This window comes from Homo sapiens, chromosome 3 (genome assembly GCF_000001405.40).
Source record: "Homo sapiens chromosome 3, GRCh38.p14 Primary Assembly".
In the NCBI taxonomy this organism is placed as follows: Eukaryota; Metazoa; Chordata; class Mammalia; order Primates; family Hominidae; genus Homo; species Homo sapiens.
Window position 1 is genome coordinate 99,809,083 of NC_000003.12, and position 18,206 is coordinate 99,827,288.

The 18,206-nt window shown below is 41.2% G+C and overlaps 1 protein-coding gene and 2 long non-coding RNA genes across 3 annotated transcripts in view, besides 4 other annotated features; 2 read left to right on the forward strand and 1 right to left on the reverse strand.

The window, feature by feature from the left end:
* Nucleotides 1–7,549: 7,549 nt before the first annotated feature.
* Nucleotides 7,550–14,783, reverse strand: HP09053 (uncharacterized LOC101929357). Its single transcript, NR_110821.1, has 3 exons — nt 14,662–14,783; nt 9,838–9,892; nt 7,550–9,390 (listed from the first exon to the last, which is right to left on the reverse strand). It is a non-coding gene; the product is annotated as an uncharacterized LOC101929357 (long non-coding RNA).
* Nucleotides 8,461–9,215: a silencer, noted in NCBI's record as "fragment chr3:99536387-99537141 (GRCh37/hg19 assembly coordinates)". NCBI's record gives its function as "represses an EF-1alpha promoter that drives an FKBP-Casp9 reporter gene in an ReSE screen in K562 erythroleukemia cells {active_cell/tissue: K562}" and the evidence as "EXISTENCE:reporter gene assay evidence [ECO:0000049][PMID:32094911]".
* Nucleotides 8,461–9,505: a biological region, named in NCBI's record as "H3K27ac hESC enhancer GRCh37_chr3:99536557-99537431".
* Nucleotides 8,631–9,505: an enhancer, noted in NCBI's record as "H3K27ac hESC enhancer chr3:99536557-99537431 (GRCh37/hg19 assembly coordinates)". NCBI's record gives its function as "activates a minimal SCP1, AML or CMV promoter by ChIP-STARR-seq in primed H9 embryonic stem cells {active_cell/tissue: H9 hESC(primed)}" and the evidence as "EXISTENCE:reporter gene assay evidence [ECO:0000049][PMID:30033119]".
* Nucleotides 8,737–9,046: an enhancer, noted in NCBI's record as "active region_20149". NCBI's record gives its function as "activates an Ori minimal core promoter by ATAC-STARR-seq in GM12878 lymphoblastoid cells {active_cell/tissue: GM12878}" and the evidence as "EXISTENCE:reporter gene assay evidence [ECO:0000049][PMID:35858748]".
* The window catches only part of CMSS1 (cms1 ribosomal small subunit homolog), a 363,871-nt gene continuing 354,444 nt past the window's right edge, over nt 8,780–18,206 (forward strand). The window contains exon 1 of the mRNA NM_032359.4: nt 8,780–8,961. Coding sequence (NP_115735.2) covers nt 8,898–8,961 — 64 coding nt within the window. The 5' untranslated portion in view covers nt 8,780–8,897. The remainder of the gene's footprint in view (nt 8,962–18,206) is intronic.
* The window catches only part of LOC105374010 (uncharacterized), a 223,532-nt gene continuing 214,105 nt past the window's right edge, over nt 8,780–18,206 (forward strand). Inside the window, exon 1 of the long non-coding RNA NR_189163.1 lies at nt 8,780–8,961. This is a non-coding gene — a long non-coding RNA (uncharacterized LOC105374010). The remainder of the gene's footprint in view (nt 8,962–18,206) is intronic.

The window sequence follows — 18,206 nt, forward strand, 5'->3', positions numbered from 1 at the left end:
AACTTCACATATTCTATCTTAGAGACCTTTCACCCAATCAACCATACCATTCACTGTTGCTCAAGGCCCTACATTTACACTGACCTCAGACTATTTTCTCCATTCAAAGGAGATGAATGCATGTACTGAAGCTCTGCCAACCAGGATTCTGTTCACCTCTGTCCTTTAAGGATCCTCCCTGAGTGGAACCGCAGTGTAGTAGCAATCCATTTTCAGTTCTACCAACATACCAAGCTTAACCAGCTTTGAGCATTTTCCAACATTATCAGCTGGTCATAGAGAATAACCCAGAGGACATAGGTGTGAGCTGAGGAACACAAAAGGCAAGGAGCTCTGAGCCATCTGTTCATGTATCTTGTGACTTTTGGACTTGCTTACATGTGCTCGCATGTATACCATTTCTGTTGTTCAGTGGATTGTTACTGTGAGCACCCAACCTTACAAGAGCCAATTCCTGAAGGGCAGTTCTGGTCATATAGTCATTTGATATTCCATAGTCAAGTGCCTGTTTCTGCTAGGACTCTACATTTTGCCCACAGCTGCTTTTCAAATGGTTTGGCTGTAGAAGGCAAAGCTGTACTAGAAAATCCTTGGAGCAGGCACCGTGATTCTCTCTTTAGGATCTGCCAGAGATTCCATCCAGCATCATTATCTATCACTCAGCACCTTTGGATCTGCCATGTCATTATGGCCTGAGTGGCAGGGCAGCTTGTGTCGTAGCCAAGACTTGCTGCTGAGCCCTCCCTTCTCTTGACCCTATTCAAAAATGGCAGCCTTTTGAGTCACCTGATAAATGAGTTAGAACACTATTTCCAAATGTGGCATAGGCTATCTGCACAAAATACTGTTTCTCTTAGGGGAAGATGAGAGATACAAAAAATTTTCCTTTACATTGAAGGGGATTCCCAGGCATGCTTCAGATCACCAAACTCCTAAAAATATAACCAACATTGCAGTTCCCTGAACATTTGTAATTTCTCTCTCACCCTTTGGCATGCATGTATTTTACTAGGGCATCCAGAATACTTGCCATTACCTGCTCTCTAGATCCAATTAACACTATGTCATCAATACAATGGATCAATGTTTTGTTTTGAGAAAAAAACAGAGTCTTTTTGAACTATATGATGATGGAGAACAGGAGAGTTAACCAGCCCTGAGAATGTTCACAGCAAAATATCCACAGCCTTCAGTTAATCTGAACTCAATCTGCCCAAGTGAATGCAAATTGCTTTTGATCTTCCTTCCTCACAGAGATTGAACTGAACATACCTGCCAGATCAAAATCACATATGAAGTGCTAGCGGCTATGTTAATTGATTCAACCAAAAATACATTATCTGTTACAGCTTCTCTGATTAGGGATACCATTTGATTCAGTTTACAGTAGTCTACTATTATTTGCCATGGTCCACCTGGCTTCGAAGGGATCATACTGGTTAACTGAACTCCTTAGTCACCATTAGTCTTTCAAGTTGGCATTAATCTCTGCAATTCCACTGGACTGAGGTATGGCCTATGATTTATTATCTTTGCCAAGGAGTAAGGGAGAGGGATAAAGTTTCAGGGACTTCCACTAGGCCCTTCCTACCATAATGATTCATATTTCATTGGTCAAAGGACCAGTGTAATGGTTCTATTAGCTGCTATCATAATTATGGACACAGCAACTGGGGAATGACCATAAGTTTATGGACCCATGACAGCCAGTGTGAAACAGATTAGAAAAAGTATCCTATCACCCAGCCACTGCATGCCCCATTCTAACAGGGGTTTATGGTGCACCTTAGACTCCCTGATATCGATGTAGTTCACCCTGTATCTGACAGCCCTTGAAAGAACTAGGAATTCCTAATTTCTCCGGTATGGTTCCTCTGAAAAAATGGCCACAGGTTCCTGTGGAAAAAGTATGGGTAAATACTATATATATTTGTGGTGTTGCAGGGGGTCTTCCTCAGGGGGATCCAGATTCTCTTTAATTGATGAGCTCTGGGTTTCCAAACTGGCTCACATCTGGAAACCGGTCCAGAGATCATACTATTCCATTTTGGCAGTTGACATGTACCTTCTGTTCACCAGCTCAAGTTCATTGTTATTGCTGTTATATAATTCAATCAACACTTTCATTAGCTTTCTATCTATCTTGCCCCTAGGAATATCATAGTCTATGGAACACCACAGATACCCTGAATATCAAGGACCTGTGACTGTAATTACATCCATTTTCCTTCTGATGATTCTGCACTGCCAAATGCCTTTGCTATTCTAGGATTCTATGGTACCTATTGATACTAGAGCATCTCCTGCTGTCATTCCTAGCCTGCACAGGACAGTCGCCATTAAGACTCTCAGCCAAGTTGGTACTCAATCACTACTGCAATCTTATTGCGTTAGTGAAAAGATTGTCCTCTGGCCCTCCCAGGGAACACAGTGAGCTGACAGGTTCTTTGGTCTTAAAAAAACAAATACATTCTAAAAAAAAGTCCAGGGCTCTGAGCCTTCTGACTCTTTCCTTAATAATCTGCCAAGGCAGTTCTGACGTCTCCATCTCATTTACCATAGATCACCATTGTGTCTAAGCTTCAAGTTACCTCACAAAATTGTTGGTTCTTGCTGACATAGAGAAAACCTATAGCTTTTCTCATGAATAAGTAATTTTCTCCTCTAGTAGGTACTATACTTTCCACTCTGTCTATGCCAAGATTTAACCCTAGTTCTTGGTGAAGAGGAAGTTTAGAGAGGTGAAAGCAGATCCTAAGACAATGAGACAACAAAAACAACATGTTTGTGAGGTGCTCAGAGAAGGAAGCTATCAGCATGATGGAAATGGTCAATCACAGCTGCAGAGCAGCTCAGACACGGGTCAAAGGAAAATGGAGCAGGTTATCAACAGTATTGCTTCAAAGTCATAATGAAAGAAGAGGACGGTATGAAAAAAACCAGGAGGATTTTAATAGAATCCAAATCTTTACATATACATACAAATCTTTCCAGGAAATTCCACCAAGCAACCAGAATTGAGAACCATTGTCCTAAATTATTGGGTTTCAAAGTTCACTGAGAAAATAAAAGTCACAAGATAGGAATGGCTTCATCGTCCTGCCATCTCAGGAATCTTCTTAAAATGAAGTGACCCTGCTCCTATCAGATGGCATCTCCTCCATGTGGCTCTGAATCTCCCTCTGCTTCCCCTTTGCAAGAACTTGACTCTTGCAATTATCCCCTTTTCCTTGACTCTCAGCAGTGCACCCTTGTCTTGGGACTACTCTTCTTTCTTGATTCGAAGGGATCATATTTGTGTCGCTCTCCTCCTCCCTCTGGCTATTTTCTCCTGGGCTCTTTGGCCTCTCCTCCTACACCTGACATCTAAACAGTGGAGGCCCGGGAACTCTTTTCTGCTCTCTACACTGTCTCCCTAAGTAATCTCATCTAGTTCCACTTCTCTTCATTTCCATTTCTACTATCAAATTCCAAGACACTGCTATCTAGCTTTGATGACTACAAGAGCCTCCAACCTAGTCTTTCTGTTTGTACTATTACTAGACATCATCCAGCTTAAAAAACATAAGCAGATCTCACAGCCTAAAAATTCCCCAATGGTTTCCTGCTTGAAATCCTTATGATTGCTGAGAAGCTCTTTCAGGTATGGCCCCCATCTACTTCTCCATCATCATCTCTTGCCACGGTCCTCCACTAACCCTCCCACCTAGGTCACAATTGCTATGTAGTTCCTTTATAGCACTTCTATCTTTTAGCTGAATTTATCATTTTTATCTGAATTTATTTATTCATTTAGTTGTCTTTTGTCTATTTTGTCCTTATTGTTTATGGTCTGTTTTGTCCTTGTCTAAGGCCTACCTCATCATTTTACCCCCTAAACTGTTCCCTCCTCGTTTTACTAGTCCCGTCTAAGATTTTTTTTTTTTTTTAGTTTTTAAGATTTGAACCTTTAGATTTTTTTGACTTCTGTTTTCCTCACCATCCTATTTCCAAAATATTAGCACAAATTGATGGTAATGCTCCTCATTTTGGTTCTTCCTTTTTTTCTATACTATTGTTACCCTAGTGCAGTGACTGTGGGTTATTTTGGGGACACAGACCACATTGGGAGTGTATGAAGGTCATGGGGCAGATGGGAAATCACTTACTAGTAACTCAGCAAGTTACTTAATTTTCTGTGCCTTAGTTTCACCATCTATAAAATGGAAAGAAAAACAGTATAAACCTGGAGCAGATGCTTTTTATGCCCCTTAGCTCATTTTGAAATTGGCTCAGCCATGGAGGAAAGTTCTGGGCACACTGTCATTATCCCACCTCAAGTGAGCTGAGGTATACTGCTCTACTCTTCTGCCTCAGGGCTTTCTCCAACAGCAGCACAGCCTGGGAATATCTGCCAATTCATAACCCTGGCAACAACCCTCACTCAATGGTAGATGACAGTCAGTGGATAAGTGTCCTAGCCTTCTGTCCTTTTGAAGATGCTATGTTGTCTGGGGTGTATACCCTGGGGTTCATCGTTGTGCACCAGAAAAATTTAGGACCTGGGCACACACGAGGAGTTTAGGAGCGTACATTTAACAGGCAGAAGAGAAGAAAAAGAGGTCTCTTCTTTATATAGAGAAAGGGGTCTCCAAGCAGAAAAGACTGGCTGGTGGCGGAAAGTGCCGAATTTTCTAGTCCAGTTTGAGGAGGTGGTGTCTGATTTACATAGGGCTCACAGATTGGTTCGACCAGGTATGATGTTTTCATAGCACACGGGGAAGGCTGGTCACTCCACCCTAATCTTATTATGCAAATGGACTTTCCAGTTGATCAGTGCCATCTTGCCTGCTCCTTGCAGTACACGTGGCTGGCAGAGAAGGGAAAACGGAGGCGCCATTTGAACATGTCTAGTCCTTAGTTCCTGCCAGCATTCATTCGTGTAAGCTCCCAGCTTGCAGGCTGCTCTTTGTTAGAAAATTATTTGGGGCTGCTTTTCATTAAAAAGAAAAGCCTTACTGAGGACTCCCATACCCTTACTATGTGTCTAAGTAATTTCTTCTTAACTCCTGTATCACTTTGTGAGGCTAATTCTGGGGTATATCCTATTTTTTTCAGAGGGTCTTCAAGAGGATAAAGAGCCAGTCATTGTCTACATCAAAACCAGTTTAATATCAATCCTCCTTCTTTGTCTCATTCTCTCTGCCTTTATTCCTGCATCCTGGTATCACCTCCCAAATAAACTATTTGCACCCAAGCCTTTGTCACAGGCTCTGCTTTGAGGGGAACCCTAAGTAGGCAGTTGATTTTATCAGTTGGGGTCCTACCATGCAAAAGATGACCCATTTAAGCTGGAAAACTGAAAATAATTTAGTAAGGGGAGTATTTCTGAACATGAGGTCAGGTTAGGGAAATGAAACGTGGTGTAGAACCCCAGGACTAGTAATGGTGGGGAGCAGTTACCACTCCTAAGTCTGAAGAGACAAAGGCAAGTTACTAGACTCAGAAGAAAGAATTGAGGAGAGCTGCTGAACTAGAGCTGTGGCCTTCAGTAAAGGGACCAGCGTCAGGACTCAAGTGAGACAAGCATTCTCAGGTCGGTGTCAGTGTCAGCCTGAGAGTGACTGCCTCCTTAAATCTGGTATCCTAGGTCTCTGCTTGCCTCACCCTAGTCCCAGCACAGTATCTCATGGAGTTATGATTAAATGAATTAAGATATAAGAGGCATAGAGAGGTACATACAACATGCTATTGTTGATATTGTTACTACCATTATTGTCTACATGATGCAAAAGTTTGAATGCATTATGATGGTTCCTGAAGTACACTTATAGGCTGGGCTTATTGACTAAGAACCTCTGCACTGATTAAGACCTTTTCATTGTGTGGTGAGCATTCACGAAACAGCCTTCAAACTTTATCGCTCTCTTACTAATTCAGTTTTTGCCAACCTTTCACATCATGGCATCCATAGAAAATGGTAATATCTGTACAACACTAGAGTGAAAAGATGATGATACCCTCAACCTGAGGCAACTGCCCCAAGGTCACTGCTTCCTCCAAAGACTGCAGGGGTCAGTCTTCAGCCCACCCATGCCAGGTGGGAAGCTCTGCTCAAATCCATTATTCATCCTGCACAGTAATACCAATTTAGCTTTCCTAAAACAATACTTCCATCATGTCCTTTGCCTCTAATAACAACGACAAAAATCCAGAATTCTTGGTCTGATACTCAAGATTAAGGCATGGAGTTGGAAGAGACCACAGGAATCATGAAATTGCTCCCCTTTATTTTACAGACTCACAAAGAAATGCCCAGCAAAGTTTAATAACTTATTCAAAGCAACATTGCAATCTTTCTGCCAAGGAACTATCATTTACCCTATCCATTTTTGCCGACAGACATCCATTGTCAAGTGCTACCTCCCAGTTCGCCCCATTGGGAAATGAATGCTTCCTCCTTTAAACTCTAATAATACTCATTCAGATACTGAACAGTAAGAGGGAGCAGAAAAAGACCTAATAGTTATTTCAGCCTGAGCTTCCCTGTGTTAGATGATATGATCAGATACTGGAGAGTACGGTTTTACAATACACTGATTTATAAACCAGGATGCCTATTCACTAATAACCAATTCACTAATAACAGAACAAACAGAACAGAAATGGATGCTACAACTTAGGTTGGCTATTCAATATAATCTGGGGTCAGTAAACTTTTTTCTGTAAAGTTAGAGCAAATATATGAGGGAATAGTAATAAATAGTAAATATATGAGGGCTACAGTCTCTGCTGCATATTTTTCTTTACGTTTTTGTTGTTGTCGTTGTTGTTTTGTTCTGTTTCTTACAATGCTTTAAAAATGTAAAAAATGGCTGGACACAGTGGCTTAGGCCTCTAATACCAACACTTTGGCAGGCTGGAGTGGGAGGACTGCTTGAAGCCAGGTGTTAAAGACCAGCCTGGGCAGCAAAATGAGACGCCATATCTACAAAAAACAAAAACAACAACAAAATAACCAAGAATGGTGGCATGTGCCTGTAGTCCCAGCTACTCGGGAGGCTGAGGCGAGGTGGAATATAATGTAAGACCATTCATAGTTCATGGTACAAAACAGGTATCAATTCCCATTAATGCATAGACACTCCATAATTTAGTATTGCCAGACTTCTTTTTTTTTTTTTTTTTTTTTTTTTTGAGACCGAGTTTCGCTTTTGTCAACCAGGCTGGAGTGTAATGGCACCATCTCGGCTCACCGCAACCTCCACTTCCCGGGTTTAAGCAATTCGCCTACCTCAGACTCTCAAGTAGCTGGAATTACAGGCGCCTGCCACCATGCCCGGCTAATTTTTGTATTTTTAGTAGAGATGGGTTTCGCCATTTTGGCCAGGCTGGTCTGGAATTCTTGACCTCAGGTGATTCACCCACCTCGGCCTCCCAAAGCGTTGGGATTACAGGCTTGAGCCACCGCGCCCGGCCCATACTTCTTAATTTTGTGATTTATTGCCTGAAAAACGGTCTCGCTGTGGTGTTTTTTTTGTATTTCCCAGATTAATAATCAGACTGAATTCTTTTCATGTTTATTAGCCATAGCAACTCCTCTTCCACACTGGCATTTCTTATCTTTTTCAAAAATCTATTAATCACGAAAATCTCGTCATCTACATTTCTTCACAAAAGCCATATTACTTTTGATCTTTATAGATTATTTTACATTTGCCATATTTATACATAATATCTTCCCTTTTGGGGCATTTAGAGTGTGCGGACAAAGTCTAGGCAGTAATGCATTTATAAAACATCTATGAGTTGGGTGCACACGGGGTAATTTTCCACATATGGCTAATCCTAGCCTCATCAGATTAAGTTTCCCTGTCTTGTCATTTCCGAGGATGTATCCTATTAGAAGTCTAGCCCTTTATTCCTACAAATTGAATTTCCACTACTGTAGGCTAACATCTGAATGGACTCATCTTACTATTCCATGCATAGTACCAGGCACGTTGCGTGCTTTTACTACATTTTGTATAATTTTTACGTCTGTGTTTGATGTCCTGAAAAATACCGTCCACAATTACTTCACAGCTAGCCCCAGCACTTGGCGCCCAGCGGGTTTTCCTAGTCCCTCCCTGCCAAATCACGTTGGGACTGAGACAAGAGGCACTGCGGGTCTCTTACCTATAGTTACGAAGCAATGGACTCCCTTATTACTTCGTTTCCCAAATAGGGGGTGGGACACACAACCGAGGGAGTATGAGGAAAACAACTTGCGGGTCTTCGAGCCACTTGCGTCTTTCTGTGGGCGAGCCTTTCCAGGCCAATTACATTTTCTTTACTCATATTGCATAAATAGCAGAACTACATTTACCACAAAGGCCCGACATTCATGGTCATGGATCCTTGCGCATGTTTTCTAAGAGCAAACTGTACAAACACATAAACTCTGAAACACTGACGCACAAGCGAAAACACACGCACATGTTTGGGTCTTCTCCCGCTGCGCAAGTTCTTTGAAACTGAGCGGAGAAAAATCGTCTTCACATGGTGTCTCACACTTTCGACACAATCTTATCGGGAAACGTAACACGTAAACAAAATTTTTTAAAATGCATTATCAAAAACGATGACAATCCCTTTCGTCTTATGTTCCTTTTTGTCTTTAAGCTTTGGGGGGATTTATGTTGCGTTTCCAAACTGCTTCTGCCTGTCGGCGCCTGTGTGGAAACTGCGACGAGTCTGGGAGCGGCTGCCGGAGAGGCGGGGCAGAGGTGTGACGTCATCGCCGCGGGGCGGAGGCGACAGTGTCTAGCGGGAGCTCCGCGTGTAGCTACGCCGGCCGCCTGGCTTTGAGACAACGTGATTCTCCGCAGCTGGTCGCCTACCCGTGATGTTCTGCCCACGTCGAGACCTGAGCTGAAATGGCAGACGATCTCGGAGACGAGTGGTGGGAGAACCAGCCGACTGGAGCAGGCAGCAGCCCAGGTACCCACTCTGTGCCCGCGCTCCTACGGGGCCTCTCCCGGAGCCCTTCCGTGCGCCTCAGCCCTGGTCGCTTCTGGCGATCGCGGTGTTTGCCCAGCAGGGGTGTGCACCGCCTTGGGAGCGCGCAAGCATCTCGGGGAAAATGGTGCAAGAGATTCTTTAACACGTGAAACAGACAGCTGTGACATTAACTCAGATCTGTCTGCCAGCCAGGAAGGATCCTTTCCACAAGCTTTCTCTTTTCCTTATTTCTTGAGAATGGATAAGACAGTTTTTGTGAAGAGAGGCAACTTTGTATGATGGTTAAGGGTGACCCATGAACTGCTTTCAATTCAGACTGAGGTCAGAAGCAGGGGTTGCTGCTTCAGACTCCCTCCATTCAAATCACGACTCCAGTATTCTGATACTGTTTAGCCTCCTTTTCCTCATCTGTAAAATAATGATAACAATAATGTCCATTTCGTAAAGTTGTGAAGATTAAGTGAAGTTAGTACAGTAATGCACTTTAGCATAGTGCTTGACATATAATGTGTGGTAAATATAAGTTACTGTATTTCTTGTGGTCATCATCATTATCATGGAATTTGGAATAGTAGAACTGGAAGGAGGCTTAAATAGAGATCATCCTTTGAACTCACTTATTTTACAGATGAGAAACATAACCTAAAGATGTCAAGTAACTTGACAAGTTCACAAAGCTAGCTCCTTTCAGAAACAATACTAGAATTCAGTTAACACAATTTGAATAGTTTCTACTATGCTCTGCTGTGTTTACCAACTCCTGATGCAGTGGGCATTTCATCCCCAAGTAGAGTAGCGTTAAGTGACCCCCCATGTCAGGCTAGCCTTGAACTTTTTAAGTTCCATCACACCTACCATGCAATTATTGGTTGGTTGGTTTTTATCACTCCTCAAGGTCTGCCTCTTTTCTCTACAAGAGAAGACAGGGCCAAAGTCAGATTCATACTTCTGTCATCCACAGGGCCCTGCACATGTTAGACACTTGATACCTATTTGCTGCAAACAATCTTGAAATACTAGTTGTGAAATATCCATTAAAAATAACCAACTTCATTTGTTGCATTGTTTCCGGAAGGTCAAGCCTTCAGGTACAAACTAAGCAGATGTCATTTTTAGAAAGGTAGCCAATACAACATTTCCTTGATTAAACTTCCTGACTCTTTTGCAGCCCTGTGGTGTTCCACATTTACTTTAATAACTACCCCTCCCAACTCAGGTGTTAAAAAGCTCTATTTTATGATATGATTGAAGATGAACAGAGGCCATTTAAGAAATAGTTGAATTCTGTTTGAGTGGTGAAGGGGATCCCAATTCTTGGTTCTAGTCCTCACTAGCTGTGTGACTTTCAAGTTATTCATCCGTTGGAAGAAAGGCAGTCAACATGTATTGAGTATCTATTATGTGACAAATGTCTTCATAAATATGAATTGATTTAACTTTCATAACATCCCGAAAAGGTAAGTATTCTCTTCATTTGTATAGGTGAAGAAACAGAAAAAAGTTAAGTCGTGTTCTTAGGAACACACATTGAAGAAGAGGTCTGGGAAGAGTTTAGTCAAGTGTGATTGATTTTGAAAGTCACGCTTTTCCCGCTACTACTTTGTGACTTCTCTGGGCCTTTGTATCATAATCTGTAAAGAGCCCTTAAAGATCATCTTTTTTAGGGTTTTACCAACCAACAGTTTTTTTTTTCTTTTTTTTTTTTTTTGACACGGAGTCTCCCTCTGTCGCCCAGGCTGGAGTGCAGTGGCACGATCTCGGCTCACTGCAACCTCTGCCTCCTGGGTTCAAGCGATTCTCCTGCCTCAGCCTCCCAAGTAACTGGGATTACAGGTGCCCGCCACCACACCCAGCTAATTTTTGTATTTTTAGTAGAGACGGGGTTTCACCATGTTGGCCAGGCTGGTCTTGATCTCTTGACCTCGTGATCTGCCCACCTCGGCCTCCCAAAGTGCTGGGATTACAGGCGTGAGCCACCGTGCCTGGCCCCCAACAGTTTTAAACACTGAATCTAGTAAAACTTTAAATCGCTACAGCCTCCTTCATCTAAGTTGCCAGAATTCTCATGAAGACAGTGTGTTGGAGTGCCTAAGATTGCTCTACTTCTTACATTCCTTCTAGCCATAAGACTAACCCTTTTTTTTTTTTTGAGACGAAGTCTCACTCTTGTCCCCCAGTCTGGAGTACAGTGGTGCGATCTCAGTTCACTGCAACCTCCACCTCCTGGGTTCAAGCGATTCTCCTGCCTCAGCCTCCCGAGTAGTTGGGATTACAGGAGCCTGCCACCACCCCCAGCTAATTTTTGTATTTTTAGTAGAGATGGGGTTTCACCATGTTGGCCAGGCTGGTCTTGAGCTCCTGACCTGAAGTGATCTGCTCGCCTTGGCCTCCCAAAGTGCTGGGATTACAGGTGTGAATCACCGCACCCGGCCAAGACTAAGCTTTGAAAATTGCTGGCATTAAATTTATCAGAGGCCTTTGCTTTGTTCGCTGCTCTTAAGCAAAGTAAGTATATGCCTTTATTTGAAATATCCTTGATTATTCACTGGCAATTTGCCTAATTGTAATCTGTACAGCGTTTCTAATTCAAAAGAAATCACAGCTGAACCACAGATTTCCTGATTCTTCTTTTGTTGATGGGATCTAGCCTTGATCCTAGAGCACAAGGCTTACTTACCTGGCTGCCTTCTTGAAGTCTTTACTTAAGTTATTTGATAGGGATGTCAAATGTATTCAATTGTTGTTTCAGCCTAAAGTATGTGAATTATGTTTTGTTTTGAAAGTTGAAGGAGAAATAATATGTTAAATCAGAGAAAGGAAAGATAGTTGTATTGGTGCTTTTATTCCTGTTGTGGATTATGCTACCTGCCTATAAAAATAAACATTTTTGCTATAATCTGTTCCCACTTGACATCCATGGTAGCAAGGCAGTGGAAGATTTCAGTCACTTACAAATACTTGTTGGTTGTACATGGTTTATAACATCTATCTAATGTGCCTATCTGTTTGTTGTCTGTCTAAGGAACTGTACTATTTTTTGGCTGTTATCATGTCTTCTTAGATGTGGTATGTAACAAAGTTTTCATGGCTCTTTAAAACCTGTCATTTTTGTGCTAGAGTTCTACATTGCACTGGAGCTCAACATGGGACCTGGCACTTAATTGGTGTTTGGTGGATGTTGGCAGAATAAATATATGTGTGTATGCGTGTTACCTGCTACAGAGTATGTAGGCAGACATATAATTTCTCATCCAATCTAGACACTTTTGTGAGTGGAAGGCTATGCAATTAGAATTTTGCAGGGACTCTCCTGGTCCTTAAGGGATGTCTAGTCACTCCATTGGTGGCAATTGGAGTCATGGCCCAACATAAGACAGCTGGGAGTTACAGTGCTGAGTGTGCAGCCCAGGATGCCTTAGGCATAAGACCCCAGGAATCATCTAATGGCATCTAATATTTGATTTATTTCCTTATTCCCTGTAAACCTTCAGCAACTGTTTGAAGTGACTTATAGTAAGTAATACATTCAGTAGAATAATGATGTGAAAATATTAATGCTGAAATGAGCAAACACAATGCCTGAGATTTTAATGTAGTTGACCGGTCTGGGTACTTTCTCAGTGTGAAGCTGAAAACTGAGAGAATGTCAATCACAGCATGGATTTCGTGACTTAAGGAAGAGAGCCAAGGGATTCTGCAGTTGAAAATGTCACTTGAGGGCCTGTAATCCCAGCACTTTGGGAGGCCAAGGTGGGCAGATCACCTGAGTCCAGGAGTTTGAGACCAGCCTGGCCAACATGGAGAAAACCTGTCTCTACTAAAAAGACAAAAATTAGCCAGGTGTGGTAGCAGGCACTTGTAGTCCCAGCTACTCAGGAGGCTGAGGCAGGAGTATTGCTTGAACCCAGGAGGTGGAGCTTGCGACGAGCCAAGATCGCACCACTGCACTCCAGCCTGTGCTACAGACTGAGACTCTGTCTCAAAAAAAAGAAAAAAGAAAATGTTACTTGATCATTTACTCACTGAAGATGAAGAGAATACTAATTGCTTTCCCTTTTTATTTCAATGACATACCTATTAAATTACCAAGTCGAGTACCCAGTAGGCAGCTAAGTATGTGAGTCTGGAGCCCCAGGGCCAGATCCAGGCTGAGATACAGATTTAGGAATAACTGGCATACAGATAGGTTATTTTTAAAGAGCATGTTCTTAGCAGTCTGTAACATTGAGCCTCCATGTCTTTTAAGGAGGGTCTTTCATATGCCTCCCCAACTCATTCTGAATCTTTGATGACATCTCTTCCCAAGCACCTAACTAGAAAACTGAAGTGTTAAGACACTGCTATGTACAGTGCCAGGAGACTGCAGGTAATAATACCAGCTTGCGGCCAGGCGCAGTGGCTCACGCCTGTAGTCCCTACACTTTGGGAGGCTGAGGCAGGTGGATCACCTGAGGTCAGGAGTTTGAGAACAGCCTGGCCAATGTGATGAAACCCTGTCTCTACTAAAACTACAAAAAATTAGCTGGGCGTGGTGGCACGCACCTGTAATCCCAGCTACTCAGGAGACTGAGGCAGGAGAATTGCTTGAACCCAGGAGGCGGGGGTTGCAGTGAGCCGAGGTCGTGCCACTGCACTCCAGCCTGGGCAATAAGAACAAAACTCCATCTCAAAATAATAATGATAATAATAATAATAGTAATAATACCAGCTTGCATTTGTTGAGCACTTAACTACCTGCCAGATGCTGTTTTGATTGCTTTACATGTTCTAGTTAATTTAATCTTCCCAAGTACACCAGCGGTAGTTACTGTTGTTATCTTTATTTTACTGATGAGGAAGTTGAGACACTGAGAAATTAAGTGATTTACTTAATACTATTTAATTTAATTCACCCAATACTATCTATTTAATTGGTAAATAGGGGAGCTGTGATTCATATGCAGGCAGTCTGAAACCAGAGCCTGTGTGCTTATATTTCGCATTCTCATTATCAGTGGTAAGAATCTCATCTCTAAAGGAATAATCTGTTATCGGCTTAAAGAGACTCATAATTTAGAAAGTCTTTTGTTTATATATCATTATGAAATTGTGTCTATTAGTTTTCCAAAGTTTACTCTTTTAAAGAACACTGGTTACTTGGAGCTACAAATAAGCAGCTTTTCCATTTGGGCTTTGAGAACCATTTCTGCCAGTAACTCAAACCTGATCCTGGAGCTCAAAGCTTAACATATGTGGCTGCCTTCTTTAAATCTTTACTTAGTTATTTAATAGGGATGTCAAATGTAAACAAGACCCAGCTACTGAATTATTCTCCAAACCTGCTTTTTCTCCAAACTTTCCTGTCTCCATAAATTAAACCACCAACTACCCAATTTCACAAAGGCCTAGCAGTATTCTGATTTATTTATTTTTTTCACCCCTATATCTCATCCATCAAGTCCTGTTGTCACTACCTCGAAAACATATCCTGATTCTTTCTTTGCATTTTTCTTCGCTCTGCCTCCATTGGAGTATACATTTTCATCCTTACTGCCATAAGCTTCTAACAGGGCTCAGAGTTTCCACCTTGTCCCTCACTCACCAGCTAGAGGCCTTTTGAAAAGAAGTCAGGCCACTTTCCTGCTTAAATCTTCCAATAGCTTTTTCCCTGGCACATAGAATGAAATTCAGATTACTTACCATGGCTGGTGGCCACCAGGTCTTCTACTATTTACTCCCCTATAGTTTATGCTGCCCCACCCACACCAGCCTTCATTCTGTTCCTCAGTAGGCCACACTCATTCTGTCTTACTTAGCCGTTTGTGTTAGCTGTTCTTTTCCTTTCTGTCCTGTCCTTCTGATTGGCTGGCTTTCTTTCTTTCTTTTTTTTTTTTTTTGAGCTGGAGTCTCGCCCTGTCACCCAGGCTAGAGTGCAGTGGTGCGATCTCAGCTCACTGCATCCTCCACCTCCTGAGTTCAAATGATTCTCCTGTCTCAGCCTTCTGAGTAGCTGGGATTACAGGCGCCTGCCACCACACCCAGCTAACTTTTGTATATTTAGCAGAGACGGGATTTCACCATGTTGACCAGGCTGATCTCGAACTCCTGAGCTCTTGATCCGCCCGCCTCAGCCTCCCAAAACACTGGGATTACAGGCATGAGCCACCAGGCCCGGCCAGCTGGCTCTGTCTTAACATTAAGTACTCAGTTCAAACGTCACCTACTCAGAGTGGCGCTTCCTGATCAGGCAGTCTAGAGTAACTATCTAGGTGCTCTATTACATTATCACAATATCTATTAAATTATTATGTTATTATAATTCTCAGCAGAGCACTTAGCACCAACTATTATTTTTCCTTGTTAAATTAATTACTTTTTCCCAGCAGTAGACTGTAAGAGCTCCATGTGAGCAGGTATTTTGTTTGTCTTGTTTGCTTTAGTTTCAGGGCCTAGAGTAGTATCTGGATACAGCGAAGGCACTCATTAAGTATTTGTTAGTTAACCAATTAATTATTAATATTTCGTAGTCACACCTTGAAGACCTCAACCTAGGAGATCTTTATCAAAAGAACCTTGATCTGCTGGCAGATTTGTCAAACTCCTGTCCAGGCTTTTGACAGATTTGGCAAATGCCGCTTTTCTCTTTTCAAAATTACATTAGTAGTCCTTGTAAAACTGTGTCTAACATTTTATTGTAACCATATTTGGATTTAATTTTATAAATTACGTTTGGAAAGAGGACAAGAGACTCTTTGTAAATAAGCCTGTAATTTTTACTGGTGACAGCTTTTGTCACCTAGAATCAATGTGCTTATTCTTTTTGAGATTGCTGAAATGAGCTTTGTAAATATTTTTGTTGTAATATCATTTTATGGTATATTCTTCAAATTATATTGCTTTATCCATGGTGAATTCCTTCTGGAAATGGAGTAGGGGAGCACCTTGGATCTTTTCTTTAAACCCAAGTACCCAGGTTTTTTTGTTCTGTGTTTTTTCTATTTTCACACCAAAGTTAAACCTTTACAGTATTAGTTTTACATATAGACAGTCTTGCATTGTAGATGTTGTAAGGCATTGTCTCTACATATAAAATTCAGACTTGGAATATTTGTAGGAGATGTTAATAACACACAACAGAGGATCGACTTCTGGGCATGTTGTTTTCATAATCATTCGTCAAGCTCTCATGCTTAGCCTTGTTTTAGACACTGTACCAGAATTAGAGGGAAAAAACATAATCAGCTTACATTACAGGATTTACACATTGATGTGGTTCAGTCAAAATGCAAATAGTATTGACAGATATTCAGGGGCAAAACACAGGGGCAGGATGAATTTAAAAAGCAAGGGGAAGGAAAGAAGAAAGAGGAGGGAGAAAAATGACTATGTTATTAGTCATTGCTCTACACTTGAAGGCTGTAACAGATGGACACTTAGATAACCTTCATGGTCTGGTTTAATTTACTGCATATAATTTCCACAGTTCTTTCAGATGATTAAATGAGTGGTTCTTGACAACAATTACGAACATTTAAAGGTGGAAATTTATGCATATTTCCCTAAATTGCATGTCAGGTAGTTCCTGCTATAATTTTGCTAAATGTCCATGAATCTCTTGAAAAATACAACTCATAAATGTGGAAGGCCTATACATAACTTCCATTTCCTCCCTCAGATTCAATAATAATATATCATTTTGTGGCACAAATCTTTTTTTCTTTTTTTCTTTTTCTTTTTTTTTTTTTTTTTTTGAGACAGAGTTTTGCTCTTGTCCCCCAGGCTGGAGTGCAGTGGCGCAATCTTGGCACACTGCAACCTCCGCCTCCTGAGTTGAAGCGATTCTCCTGCCTCAGCCTCCTAAGTAGCTGGGACTACAGGTGCATGCCACCATGCCTGGCTAATTTTTTGTATTTTTAGTAGAGGGGGGTTTCACCACGTTAGGCAGGATGGTCTTGATCTCCTGTCCTCATGATCCGCCTGCCTCCGCCTCCCAAAGTGCTAGGATTTACAGGTGTGAGCCACGGAGCCCGGCCCAGCACAAGTCTTTTATCTGTTGTTAATCTGATGTTATTTAGTGGAACACTTCAGATGCATTCATAGAATTATACATTTTACTAAATATATCACAGCTTGAAATATAGTTTCCCCATTTTTATCAGCTTTCATAGAATTCTTAATTGATTTTTAAATGGCTAATATTGCTTATAAAAAGTAGTTGATCAAGCTCTTAAATTCCTATTTCTGAGTTCCTTGTTCTAGTTCACACTAGACCAGAGGTCAGCAAACTTTTTTCATATAAATCCAGATAATAAATATTTTAGGTTGTGTGGGTCCAGTCATCACCGTCATAACTGCTGTTGCAGTGTAAAAGCAGTCATAGAAAATAAATGTGTAAACGAATGAGTATGGCTGTGTTCCAATAAAATTTTATTTATGGACAACAATATTTGAATTTTATGTAATTTTCACGTCACAAAATAGTCTTATTTTGATTGTTTTTCAACTTTCACAGTGGGTTGAATTTGGCCTGTGAACCGCAGTTTGCAAACGCTGCCCCAAACTCAAAGTCACATCGTGAATTGTATGTCACGTGTCTTCAGGAGAAGAAATTTGAAACAAATCCAGAGAGAATTGTGTTTTACCTTAGTTACTCCGTTACTTAGTAGTTATCAGCTATGTATTAGACCAGTCACATATCTGTTAAAATCAGATATTTGATTCTAAAATATCTCAAGATTAGTTCAGAAACCTTGAAGGTAAATAAATGAAGGACCAGGAAAAGACTTCAGCTTAAAAGTATCAGGTTTTTAACATTTTTGTTACAAATTGGATTTGTTTTCACTCACTTGGATTTTTATCTGCTTACTTTGAAACAGTTCATCAGGTGAAATCACTCTAGAATTATTAGGTCAGCTTCTTTTATTTTCATTTTTCTTCAGAGGCCACACTTCTGCGGAAACAACATGCCCAGGAGGAAAGATGCTTTATATTTCAGTTGTGTTACATATAGGTCAGACATTACTGTTTTGAACTCCAAATAGTATTCTCACTTTATAGTTGTATTTGCATTTTTATTATATTATTAATACATATTGCTTGAAACAAGCATGGTTTTTGGTTGTCAATCCTTTTGTTAAAATATAACTTTATTTATTGTTATTATTTTGAGACAGAGTCTCACTCTGTCACCAAGGCTATAGTGCAGTGGCATGATCTTGGCCTACTGCACCCTCTGCCTCCCAGAC